At 44.4% G+C, this 13,799-nt stretch overlaps 1 long non-coding RNA gene across 3 annotated transcripts; it reads left to right on the forward strand.

Moving 5' to 3' along the window:
- The first annotated feature begins 2,929 nt into the window (after window positions 1-2,929).
- LOC105376206 (uncharacterized) lies at window positions 2,930-13,011 on the forward strand. 3 transcript variants are annotated; one of them, XR_930223.3, is made up of 3 exons: window positions 2,930-2,965; window positions 9,087-9,218; window positions 12,460-13,011. It is a non-coding gene; the product is annotated as an uncharacterized LOC105376206 (long non-coding RNA). The 3 variants fall into 3 exon arrangements; XR_007061718.1 differs by lacking the exon at window positions 2,930-2,965 and adding an exon at window positions 6,330-7,304; XR_930224.3 differs by lacking the exon at window positions 9,087-9,218.
- The last annotated feature ends 788 nt before the right edge of the window (window positions 13,012-13,799 follow it).

The following is a 13,799-nucleotide window of genomic DNA, read 5'->3' on the forward strand; positions in this document are numbered from 1 at the left end:
GGCATGGTGGTGGGCACCTGTAATCCCAACTACTTGGGAGCCTGAGGCAGAAGAATCGTTAGAACCCGGTGAGCCAAGATCATGCCATTGCACCCCAGTCTGGGCGACAAGAGCGAAACTGTCTCAAAAAAAAAAAAAAAGAAGTGATGTGTCAGGGTTTCCTGTGTCATTGCTGTCTGATGCAGGGAAGGAGGCTTGGACTTGACTAGGAGTTAGGACTTGTGTTTTCTTGTCCCAGCTCTGCCAATGTGTGGCATGGGTAAGTTACCTCTGTTCCCTAGGCCCCTTTCATCTGTGCAAAGTGGAGGCTTCCAATTATATTCTAATAATGTACAATTTCCATATCTTCAGAGTTTCAAGGAAGTGCAAACTAACTGCCATGAAAGTTTCACCAGCCAAAAGCTGATTATGTAGATGTTAACATTTGAAAGATTAAGATCATAATATTCGGTACTGGTTAGTACGTAAGGAAACCAACATGTTGATATCTTGCTGATGAGAATGTAAACTGATGTAAATTTTTTGAGGAACAATTTGAAATGGTTGAAATGTAAATCAATTTCTATGAATTGAGCCTAAGGAAATAAGTGAATAAGAGTACACATGGAAATTCTGTAGTAATGAAAAGTTGGAAACAATCTAAATGTCCATCGAAAGGAGATTGGGCTGGACATGGTGGCACATAACTGTAATCCCAGCACTTTGAGAGGCCAAGGTGGGAGGATCCCTTGAGTTCAGGAGTTCCAGACCAGTGTGGGTAACATAGTGAGAACTCATCTCTACAAAAAGTAATGAACCAGATGTGATGGCAAGAACCTGTGGTCCCAGCTACTCAGGAGATTGAGGTGGGAGGACCACTTGAACCCAGGAGGTCGAGGCTGCAGTGAGCCATGAGCATGCCACTACAGTCCAACCCAGGCAACAAAGCAAGGCCCTATGTAAATAAATAAATAAATAAATTTTATTATTTTCACATATGTATAAAAAATGTGAAGACTTATACTTCAAACTGAATTGTGGTCATATCTGGAGAGGCAGGCTGCGGATTTTATTTAAAATACACATGTATTGATTTATTGATTTTTTTTTTTGAGACAGAGTCTCTATCGCCAAGGCTGGAGTGTGGTGGCTTTGTCTCGGCTCACTGCAACCTCTATTGCCCGAGTTCAAGCAATTCTCCTGCCTCAGCCTCCCTAATAGCTGAGATTACAGGCACCCTGTAGTCTGGAACTCCTGACCTCAGGTGATCCACCTGCCTCAGCTTCCGCAAACTGTTGGGATTACCGGCGTGAGCCACCGCACCTGGCCCTGACACTTTACTTTTATGAGCCCATCTACCTTTTGAAACCAGAAGCATGGACCTCAGAAGAGGGTGAAAACCAACTTTTTTTTTTTTTGAAACGGAGTCTCTCTCTGTCACCCAGTCTGGAGTACAATGGCACAATGTCGTCTCACTGCAACCTCCGCCTCCTGGGTTCAAGCCATTCTCTTGCCTCAGCCTCCTGAGCAGCTGGGATTACAGGCGCCCGCCACCATGCCCGGCTAATTTTTTGTATTTTTAGTAGAGACAGGGTTTCACTGTGTTGGCCAGGCTGGTCTCAAACTCCTGACCTCGTGATCCACCCGCCTTGGCCTCCCAAAGTGCTGGGATTACAGGCGTGAGCCACCGCGCCCAGCCGAGAACCAACACTTTTAGAGAACCTTTAAAAAGCCTGAAACTTCCCCATATACTTTGCATATGTTATACCCAAAATAATCCTGCAAAGTAGGTATTATTATTATTATTTTATTAATTTTTAGAGTCAAGGTCTCACTCCATTGCCTAGGCTGGAGTGCAGTGGCATGATCATAGCTCACTGCAACCTCAAATACCTAGGCTCAAGTGATCCTCCCCTTTCAGCTTCCTGAGCAACTAGGACTTCAGGAAGCCACCATTAAGCCTGGCTACTTTCAAAAAGTTTTTTGTAGAGATGGGGTCTCGCAGTGTTGCTCAGGCTGGTCTCAAACTCCTGGCCTCAAGCAATCCTTCTACCTCAGCCTCCCAAAGTGCTGAGATCACAGGCGTGATTCACTGTGCCTGGCCTAAAGTTTATTAATTCTATCACACAGAGGAGGAAATGAAAGAACTGGAGATGAAATTGATCAAATTAGTAATCTCCAGCCAGTCCTGAGGAGATTTAGCACTGGGCAGTGTTCGAGTTGGATTTAAGAAGAGGCAGAGTGGTACCACCAGTTTGCCCCACGTGGGTAAGGGAGAGATTTTCTGGCAAGACTGAAGACATTCTGATACCCTCCTCTCCCCTAACATACACTTACTCAGGTGTAAGAGTAATTCAGGCATAAGAGTCAGCAAAAACACTTTCTCAAGACGCTGTCTAGCTGTCTCAGGATCTTGTCCTGCTCAGGGTTGAGCACAAGGAGAACACAATCCTTGCTGGCCGGGCCCTGTTCTGGAATGACTGAGCTGTCCAGCATGGCCAGTGTGTAAATGTCAAGTAAACACCAAATTCAAGTGCAATCTAACTATTGTGCTGGGACTGTTTGTTTTAGATATAATAGTCAGCAGGAAGGGAGAAGGGGAGGGAGGGGGAAAGTATATATCACTTCACAAGGCAAAATTATGACTATCGTGAGCCCTCCCTTGGTCAACTTGAATGTCAAGAAACCAATATCAAATAAATAAAGAGCCTGCACTCCATGCTGCAAAAATAAGCATGTCCATTTGCTTGAAAAAAAGATTTTTTCAGATGAGGGAACATTTTCCAGTCAATCACCCTGCAGCAAAGTCATCCTGTTGAATTTGTGACTCACAGCCTCTCTGTGTCAATAGACAGAGTCAGCCCAGAGTTATGACTTCACAGAAAGATGAAGCAAAAGCTGGGAGACGAGGCAGGACCAGCTTTAAAAGAAGGCTGTAAGCTCAGACAACAAGTAGCAAAAGAAACACTGACCACTCACAGGCTGGGTAATTGCATTCGTTGCTTCTTTTTATTTCTTGCTCGTCTCCTAGAAAAGAACAACTCTGACTTTGACTTCATCCTTTCATTGCATTAACATTGACGGGGGACATGGTCATTGTCAGGGCTATGACTTTGCCTGGTGCTCCATATACATTGTTATCTCATTCTGTTCTCATAGCAATTCTATAAGGTAGGTGGTATTTGTATTATTTTATTTTATTTCCTTTTTTTTGGAGATGGAGTCTTGCTCTGTTGCCCAGGCTGGAGTGCAATGGCGCAATCTCAGCTCACTGTGCGAACTCTACATCCTGGGTTCAAGCGATTCTCCTGCCTCAGCCTCCCGAGTAGCTGGGACTACAGGTGCATGCTGCCACACCTGGCTAAGTTTTTGTGTTTTAGTAGAGACGGACGGGGTTTCACCGTGTTGCTCAGGCTGGTCTCAAACTCCTGAGCTCAGACAATCCGCCCACCTCGGCCTCCCAAAGTGCTGGGATGACAGGCAGGAGCCGTTGCGCCTGGACTTTATTTACTTTTATTTATTATTTATTTTATTTTTATTTTTATTTATTTATTTTTGAGACGGAGTCTCACTCTGTTGCCCAGGCTGGAGTGCAGTGGCACAATCTCGGCTCACTGCAACCTCCGTCTCCCGGGTTCAAGCAATTCTCCCTGCCTCAGCCTCCTGAGTAGCTGGGACTACAGGTGCCCACCACCACACCCAGCTAATTTTCGTATTTTTTAGTAGAGACAGGGTTTCGCCACGTTGGCCATGCTGGTCTTGAACTCCTGACCTCAGGTGATCTGCCTCCCAAAGTGCTGGGATTACAGGCATGAGCCACCGCACCTGGCCTGTTTATTTTATTTTATTATTATTATTTTTTGAGACAGAATCTTGCTCTGTTGCCCAGGCTGGGTGCAGTGGTGTGATCTTAGCTCACTGCAACCCCCTCCTCCTGGGTTCAAGCGATTCTCCTGCCTCAGCCTCCTGAGTAGCTGGGATTACAGGCACACGCCACCATGCCCAGCTAATTTTGTATTTAGTAGCGACGGGGTTTCACCGTGTTGGTCAGGCTGGTCTCAGACGCCTCAGCCTCCTGAAGTGCTGGGATTACAGGTGTGAGCCACCGTGCCCAGCCTATTTATTTTATTTTTAAGAGGCAGGGTCTTGCTCTGTTGCCCAGGCTGGAGCACAGTGGGCACAATCATAGCTCATTGTAACCTCAAATTCTTGGACTCAAGGGATCCCCCCACCTCAGCCTCCCAAGTAGCTGGGACTACAGGTGCGTGCCACCATGCCTGGCTAATTTTTCAATTTTTTGTAGAGGCAGAGTCTTGCTTTGTTTCCCAGGCTAGTCTCAAACTCCTAGCTTCAAGCAGTCCTCCTGCCTAGGCCTCCTAAAGTGCTATTACAGGTGTGAGCCACTGCACCTGGCCTGTATTATTTTATTTTATTTTATTTATTTTTCTGAGATGGAGTCTCGCTCTGTCGCTCAGGCTAGAGTGCAGTGGCACGATCTCGGCTCACTGCAACCTCCGCCTCTCAGGTTCAAGCAATTCTCCTGCCTCAGCCTTCTGAGTAGCTGGGATTACAGGCATGTGCCACCACACCCGGCTAATTTTTGTATTTTTAGTAGAGATGGGGGTTTCACCATGTTGGTCAGGCTGGTCTCAAATGCTTCACCTCATGATCCGCCCGCCTCGCCCTCCCAAAGTGCTGGGATTACAGGCATGAGCCACCGCGCCTGAATGCCTGTTTTATTTTATATGAGAATAATTATGAGAATAATTGAGGCCCACAGAGATTAGGTAACTTTGTAACCTTCTGCTTAAGGATTCTCACCCAGTTCTCCCTGGCTTCAATTTCAAATTTTGTGTGAGTTTCGGACAGCCTCTTATTTTGTTATCCTACTATAAGCCAGACAGGTACCTTGGCACCAGGGTCTCACCAATAAATCAGACATAGTTCTTGCCCTCAAAGAGCTTGGGGCCAGCCAAAATACTGTTGTCTTGGTGTTCAAGACCAATGCAGCACAATCCGTTTAGGCTGCCTGTAAACAAGTTAATATTGAAGAAAAGATAGTACCAACAGACTCACTACTTGTTTTCCAAGTTGCTACTATTTGCAGATTTCTCAGGAATGCCTGTGGGGATGAAAAGCCACTAAGAGATAATAAACCATAGAAGAGCGTATGTGGAGTGAAAACGGTTGATCTGAAGGCGAAGCTTGCAGCCAGTCAGCTTTGCCTGGCATGCTGGTTGTGGGGAGGTAGAGGCTTAACGTTTGGTCTTGTCTAGCCACAGAGCAGGCTAGGCAGGGACAGGGCCTGGCTGCGGAGGTGGAAGGCCTGGGCTCTAGTCTGAGCTTGGCTACCACACACTTGGAGGCTTAGGTCTGCTGTTTGCTCTGTTCAGAACCTGTTGAGGTTCTGAATCTTCTACACGAAGGCAGATGAAAGCTGAAAATTGACTTTGATATGTGATTAAAGTCCATAGGTGGTTTGGTGACTCTCAGACAAAGATTAAGTAGACTTTTGAGGCTGTGACTTCACTATAGAGACACAGTGTGCAGAATGGATTGAGGCTCTCATACGCAAATCCAATCCACCGTTAAGATTGTCACTCGTGGCCAGGCATGGTGGCTCACGCCTGTAATCCTGGCACTTTGGGAGGCCAAGGTGGGCGGATCATGAGGTCAGGAGTTCCAGACCAGCCTGACCGACATGGTGAAACCCTGTCTCTACTAAAAATACAAGAAAAAACAAAATTAGCCGGTGTGGTGGCACATGGTTGTAATCCCAGCTACTCAGGAGGCTGAGGCAGGAGAATCACTTGAACTTGGGAGGCAGAGGTTGCAGTGAGCTGAGATGGCGCCACTGCACTCTAGCCTGGGTGACAGAGCAAGACTCTATCTCAAAAAAAAAAAAAAAAGAAAGTTCAAAAATTGACTTTGATATGTGATTAAAGTCCACAGGTGGGTTGGTGACTCTCAGACAAAGATTAAGTACACCTTTGAGGCTGTGACTTCACTGTAGAGACACAGTATGCAGAATGGATTGAGGCTCTCATACACAAATCCAATACAACGTTAAAATTGTCACTCTTGGCAGGGTGCAGTGGCTGACGTCTGTAATCCCAGCACTTTGGGAGGCCCAGGCGGGTGGATCACCTGAGGTGAGGAGTTTCGAGACCAGCCTGGCCAACATGGTGAAACCCTGTCTCTACTAAAAATACAAAAATTAGCTGGGCGTGGTGGCGGGTGCATGTAATCCCAGCTACTTGGGAGGCTGTGGCAGGAGAATCTCTTCAACTCAGGAGGCCTCCAAGGTTGCAGCGAGCCAAGACCGCGCCACTGCACTCCAGCCTGGGTGACAGAGCGAGACTGTCTCAAAAAAGAAAGATAGTCATTTGTGCACTTGGACCCAACATATAAAAGGTGCTGACTCTCATACCTAGACACAGGACAGGTGGGGGATACTTAATCTCAGCTCTGGACCTTCCTGAAAGTGTGGTTGTGACATAGCCCATCATGGCTAAGCTCTTTATTTGTAGCAAGAGGAGGGAGAGAAGGCAGTCTTTGTGGCTCCAGAGTGTCAGGATTCATGAGGATGGCTAGGTCAGTTCTTGATTTGGGGTGGAAGGCTTTCGCCTAGATATTCTATTAAAATGTTTTCTTCCTGGACTTAAATGATCCTTCCATCTCGGCCTCCCAAAGTGCTGGGATTATAGGCATGAGCAGTGGCCCGGTCTAGATATTCTCACATTAGAAAGGTAAAGAGCAGTGGACGAGCTGGCTCTCAAGGCTGAGACATTCTATCTCCTTAGCTCTTCTTGCAACTCTTCTGAAAATTGAGCTTGTAAAGTAGCTTTGATCCTTAAAAAAAAAAAAAAAATCTGTTGTCTGCTTAAACAAAAGCAGTTCTTAGAGTGGCTTTGCCTTTATTTTAGTATAACACAGATTGCTTCTCCTTTGTTTCCGTTGTCTCAGTGTTCTCCCAGTTCTAAGAAGCTGTCAGCGTATATAATATATTACCTGGTTGCCTCAGTCCCCTTCAAATTTCCATCCTTAAGGGTTTTCTTCCTAATGGTTGGGGAAATTCTTGAAAGGACAAGGTCAATATGCCTTTGCTGGGATATACTTTTAAAAAATTTATTTTGGCTCTGTGTTGTTTGTCAAGGCTTCAGAGAGCCCTGCAAGTGAGAGTGCTCCGTTTACCATTTTGAATTTCTCCCTTTCTGGTTGGCCAACATCGTGTTTCCACTGTAATCCACCTGAAAAACAAACAGGAAAGTTTACACAGGTCTCTGTGTTCAACCATCTGCCTCCGCAATGATCTCTACAACAATGTAAGAGCTAGAAGACCAACTCTGGGTGTGTGTGTGTGTGTGTGTGTGTGCGTGCGCACGTGTGTGATATTTGGGGAGCACGAGCTATGTGTCTGGCTCAGGGTTGGGCATTCGGAACATCAATGGCGAACAAAGATAGATGTGATCCCTACTCACAAGGAGCTTATAGTCTACTGTCAGAAGAAAGACATTAATCAAATAATCACAAAAGCAAAACCAGACTGCAATCACTGCTTTGAGGGAGGATGCACAGTGTAGCAAAGCTTATCATAGGGAAAACTAACCTAGTTAGGGTTAATAAGGAGAGTACTGGGAAGAGGAAAGTCATGTTCTCTCTGTGATCTCTGAGTGCTGATAAATGATTAAGACAAGCATTTGTACCCTTGTATTTCTAAATCTAATATGGTCTCCATGATTTTTTTAAAATCATGTAACGCCCCCAGCTAGGAACTCAGGGCACAGAGATAAACAAGACATTGCCTAGGAGACACACCCTGAAAGAAACTGTAATACAAGGTGCCAAGGTGATACTAGCAAGAGGGGTGTGCAAGGACGCCTAGGAGCCCAGAGGGCACAGGGGATTGGTTCTGCTTGGGGTGCGCCTGGCAGATAGGGAAGAGGAGGGGTGTCCAGGCAAAAAATTCAGCACAAATAAGCCACGGAGATGGGAGAGTATAGGGTATGCAGGTGGACCAGGATAAAATCCAGGGGGGGCCAGCATAGAGTGTGTAGGTAGAATAAGTAAATCTTTTGAAAAGACATTTGGAAACAGAAATGGAGGGGCCCAGGGTCACAACTTCTCTTAAATCAAATAGTTGCTCAAGACCCACATGTTGGCTGGGCGCGGTGGCTCACGCCTGTAATCCCAGCACTTTGGGAGGCCGAGGCGGGTGGATCACGAAGTCAGGAGATCGAGACCATCCTGGCTAGCACGGTGAAACCCCGTCTCTACTAAAAATACAAAAAATTAGCCGGGCACGGTGGCGGGCGCCTGTAGTCCCAGCTACTCTGGAGACTGAGGCAGGAGAATGGCGTGAACCCGGGAGGCGGAGCTTGCAGTGAGCGGAGATCCCGCCACTGTACTCCAGCCTGGGCGACAGAGCGAGACTCCGTCTCAAAAAAAAAAAAAAAAGACCCACATGTTAAAGCTGTCTTTTCCACCACTTCCGTGATCCTAGAACTATGTTCAGTTTTTTGGCACAGGTGTGTTGATTAGTCATATTATGATAATATTTTTCTTTAAATCCACATATTTAAAAAATATTTTGAAACTTTAAAGCATATTTAATAATAATATGTGTAATATTGCAGTTTGGATATGCTAGCTCAATGTTTTGTAAAGCATAAATAATAAATGCATAACAATTAAAATAATAAATATTTCCCTGTGTACCACATCAAATCACCTTGAGTCCCATCAGTGGTATTTGTATTCCTTGATCAAAAAAAAATTATACCGGGAATGGTGGTTCACACCTGTAATCTCAGCATTTTGGGAGAGCAAGGCAGGAGAATCACTTGGGACCACATGTTCAAGACCAACATAGCGAGACCCCATCTCAAAAAAGAAAAAAAAATTCTACGACAACTCTAGGACAATATAGATGGTAAAAAACAAAAATTCATTATTTTTTTCCATCACTTATGTATTATATTTAGTGATTGAGCAAAATCTTTTCAATCTAAACAGCTGGTTTGTATAACTAGCAGATAAAGACCATTGTATCTTTCTGCCTTTGGGCTGAGACTCTCTTTTCATCTTATTTTGTCCAATTTCTTTAGTGCTGAAAAAAATGCATTGTCCATACTAATGACAACCCACTGTGTACCTCCTCCCATGCTCTCCAGCGGTGCAGCTTGTGGTGGTCAGTTGCCTGTTTTTCCTCGCTGTGAACGCTTTTAATTAAAAGGAAGGTAATTTGCAATATTAAGCATGTCTTCTCTGAATTAATCCTCGAAACAACTCTAAAACAGTAGTAGATAAAGCCCTATTTTACAGATAAAGAAAGGGGGCTCAGATAGATCCAAGTGACTGCCCCTCTTAGTGCTGTGTGACCAGCCAGAGATGGGTTTGAATTTAGAATTATTTGATTTGAAGCCTGGGACTCTCTTTGGCTTCTAATGGAGTGCATTCACTTGGGTGGACTTTTTTCCCCATCCATTTAACAGATATTTTCAGAATGCCAGTTATGTAGAAGGTACTCTGCTGTATGATGGGAGATCCAGAGATAAGTATAAATGGTATAAGCTGTACTATCAAGATGCTTATAGCTGCCAGGCACAGTGGCTCATGCCTGTAATCCTACTATTTTGGGAAACTGAGGCAGGCACATCACTTGAGGTCAGGAGTTTGAGACCAGCCTGTCCAACATGGTGAAACTTTGTCTCTACTAAAAATACAAATATTAGCCGGGTGTGGTGGTGTGCACCTGTAATATCAGCTACTCAGGAGGCTAAGGCAGGAGAATCGCTTGAACCTGGGAGGCAGAGGTTGCAGTGAGCCGAGATCGCGCCACTCACTCCAGCCTGGGCAATAGAGTGAGACTCCATCTCAAAAATAAAATAAAATAAATAAATAAATATACAAAAATTAGCTGGACATGGTCGCATGCACCTGTAGTTCCAGCTACTAAGGGGATTGAGAGAGGAGGATCACCCGAGCCTTGGGAGATCGAGACTGCAGTGAGCTGTGATCACACCACTGCACTCCAACCTGGGTGACAGAGTGAGATATTGTCTCAAAAATAAATAAATAAAAGGCCAGGGGTGCTGGCACATGCCTGTTATCCCAGCACTTTGGGAGGCTGAGGTGGGCGGAACACCTGAGGTCAGGAGTTTGAGACTAGTCTGACCAACACAGTGAAACCCCGTCTCTCTGAAATACAAAAAATTAGCTGGGCGTGGTGGTGCATGCCTGTAATCTCAGCTACTTAGGAGGCTGAGGCAGGAGAATCACTTGAACCAGGGAAGTGGAGAGGTTGCAGTGAGCTGAGACCTCAACATTGTACTTCAGCCTGTGCAACAAAAGTGAAACTCCTCTCAAAAAAAAAAAAAAAAGAAGAAGAAAGAAAAGAAAAAGAAAAAAGGAAAAAAGGCTGGGTGCAGCGGCTCATGCCTGTAATCCCAGCACTTTGGGAGGCTGAGGCAGGCAGATCACTTGAGGTCAGGGGTTTGACACCAGCCTGACCAACATATCATATTTTTTAATAATACAAAAATTAGCTGGGTGGGGTGGGAGGTGCCTGTAGTCCCAGCTACTCAGGAGGCTGAGGCAGGAAAATTGCTTGAACCCAGGAGGCGGAGGTTGCAGTGAGCCAAGATGGTGCCATTGCACTCCAGCCTGAGTGACAGAGGAAGACATCGTCTCAAAAAAAAAAAAGAAAAAGAAAAAAAGAAAAGAAAAAGAAAAAGAAAAGAAAGAAAGCTTTTAGCTCCTTCCTGGGAGAGTCAGAATTATAAATGGTTACATTTAAAAAATTACTTTTGTTTTAACTAATATAGACACTAAGAAATTCAAACGGTTGGCTGGGCGCGGTGGCTCACGCCTGTAATCCCAGCACTTTGGGAGGCCAAGGCGGGTAGATCACAAGGTCAGGAGACTGAGACCATCCTGGCTAACACAGTGAAACACCGTCTTTACTAAAACTACAAAAAAACTTAGCCGGGCATAGTGGTAGGTGCCTGTAGTCCCAGCTACTCAGGAGGCTGAGGCAGGAGAATTCCTTGAACCCTGGAGGCAGAGGTTGCAGTGAGCCGAGATCGTGCCACTGCACTCCAGCCTGGGGACAGAGTGAGACTCCGTCTCAAAAAAAAAAAGAAAGGAAGAAAGAAAGAAAGAAATTCAAACAGTTTATGAAATGTCAAAGAACTGTTCTGCAGATGAAGCCAGCATGAATAGCTTCTTCATATTTTTACTTTACTCTGCCACTCTACAAACTATTTGAAGTGACTCACAGTGAAGAATATGTTTTTTTTCCATTATAAAGTTAATAGTATAGAAATAGAAAACCAAGTCATTAAGTCATTAAAAAAAGAAGGAAACTAGCATGTGATATAGTTGCTATGATTGAGCATCACATCTTAGCAACTTAGCTTCCTGGCAGCCAAGACAAAAAGGGAACAAGCTAAGTTCCGTAGCTCTCATTATCAGAAAGGAAGAAGTTCATTGCTATTTTGGTCCTTAAACCTTAAGCTCACTTCTCACCTGTAAGCCCACAGAGGGACATTGATAGACACAATAATTAATGTTTTTGGCAACAGCCTTACCACAATTGCCAATTTTTGTCTGCCCTTTCTTGTGAAGGCCTTTAATTAAGGTCAAGGGCTTAACACTGAAGCAGACATCAGTGAGGGCTTGGCTAACCTAGTTCAACAACTGTCTGTAACCCAAAGCAGAATGGAATCAGGAACTAGTTAGCACTACAAGTGAAGTATAAAGGATCTCAAGAGGATCATGCAATTACAGCTGTCCTTTCATATTCACGGGAGATTGGATGCTCAAGTTCCTTATATAAAATGACATAGTATTTGCATATAACCTGTGCATATCCTCCTGAATAATTTAAACCATCTCTAGACTACTTACAATACCTAATACAATGTAAATGCTGTGTTTGTTATACTGTATTCTTTTATTTGTATTACTTTTAATTGTCGTATTTTTTTGTTGTTGTTGTTTCTAAAAAATTATCTCTGCCGGGTGCGATGGCTCACATTTGTAATCCTAGCACTTCGGGAGGCCGAGGTGATCTCTTGAGCGCAGGAGTTCGAGACCAGCCTGGGCAATATGGTGTGACCCCTCCCCCTGCTGTCTCTACAAAAAATACAAAAAATTTGCCGGGTGTGTGCCTGTAGTTTCACCTACTTGGGAGGCTGAGGTGGGAGGATCACTTGAACCAGGGAGGTGGAGGTTGCAGTGACCTGAGATTGCACCACTGCACTCTAGCCTGGGTGACAGAGCAAGGCCCTGTCTCAAAAATAAAGAAAGAAAGAAAGAAAGAAAAAGAAAAAATTATCTGTAGGTTACTTATCATGCCTAATACATTGTAAATGCTATCTAGTTGTTAACAGTGTCTTGGTTTTTATTTGCCTTATTTTTTGTTGTTGTGTTGGTTTTCTTAATTGTTTTTTCCCACTGAATATTTTCCATCCACAGGGATTCAGAACCTGCGGATGTGGAGGGCCAGAGGGCTGAATTTGCAAGTTGGGCAATGGGGAAAGCCTTCACAAAGGAGAAAGCCTTTGGGCTGGAATTGGAGGAGTAGGAGTCAATAGAGAGAGAAGAGAGTAAAGGGCAAGGCCATCATTCCAGGTTTAGGGAGCAAGTACAAAGACACAGAGAAATGAAAAGGCTTGGCCTGTTTGGAGAATGTCAAGCTGTCTGGGGTTGAGAGAAAGACATTCTAACAAGGCTTCCATTAAAGAGGCTAGATTTGCTGCTTGGACATTTTCTAGCTCTTCTGAGACAACTTTTTGTTGAGTTAAGCGAAAATGAATGAAAATCAGATGGACCATATTTCTCTTGAATGCACACGGGCTTAAAAACGAAGGGGAAAAAGAACTTGACAGAATGTGTCTTGGCTTTTGCCAAACCCAAAGTATTTGAAAAATCACACAGTACACATCTCGAACCCAAAAACATGCCTGGATTCTACCACCCCTAACTGCAGCTGCAGCCATTTAATAAAATGAATTGTGTACAAGAAAATGGGGTCCGAATGGAGTGAGCTTCATTAGAGAGAATGACTGATGTAGGGCGGTTGGCTGGTGCCCTTGAGAAAGTACATATCTCATTGCCCTTGCAGAGAAAGAGAGAGGCCCAATGTAGAGCTTTCTAACCACGCTATTGAATCAAGCTCTCTTGTAGAGAACAACTAAAACCCCACATTATTTAACTTTATTGTATCATGTGTAGGAAGAATTCAGCATCTCTTGTTTCTCTCCCACTCTGTTTCTCAGTTTTACACTGTGAAGTATGACAATGAAAAGAAACATGTTTTACATCAGTCTTGATTCACATAAATGGATACCAAATAAGAGATGGTGGAAATAGAACAAGATTGCTAATATACTATTTATTTCCGTTGAAAACTCTTGGCTTGAGCATCATGGACATTTGAAAAGTAGAAGAAATCTGAGGCCCAGAAAGGTTAACTGATTTGTCCATGGTCCACAGTTGGTTAGTTGTAAAGTTAGGACTCAAACCTGGACCTCCGATTCCTGTTCTTTCATAGCAAACACATTTTTGTTGTTGTTGTTAATGTTGCAGGGCGAGGGTCAGCCTCAGGTACTAGATGTCCCAGAGATTCCTCCAGCTTAACATGTTCCTAATATTTTTACACCAAACCATCTTGGGGCCCTCAGTTTCTGATCTTAGTAGCACTGTCACCTCTGGGTTACTCACTCCAGAAACCTGGGCATTCCTCTTGACTACTCTTTCTCCCTTATACCTCTTATTTAAATAATCTTCCAGGCTGGGTGTGGTGGCTCACTCCT

This window comes from Homo sapiens, chromosome 9, assembly GCF_000001405.40.
Source record: "Homo sapiens chromosome 9, GRCh38.p14 Primary Assembly".
In the NCBI taxonomy this organism is placed as follows: domain Eukaryota; kingdom Metazoa; phylum Chordata; class Mammalia; order Primates; family Hominidae; genus Homo; species Homo sapiens.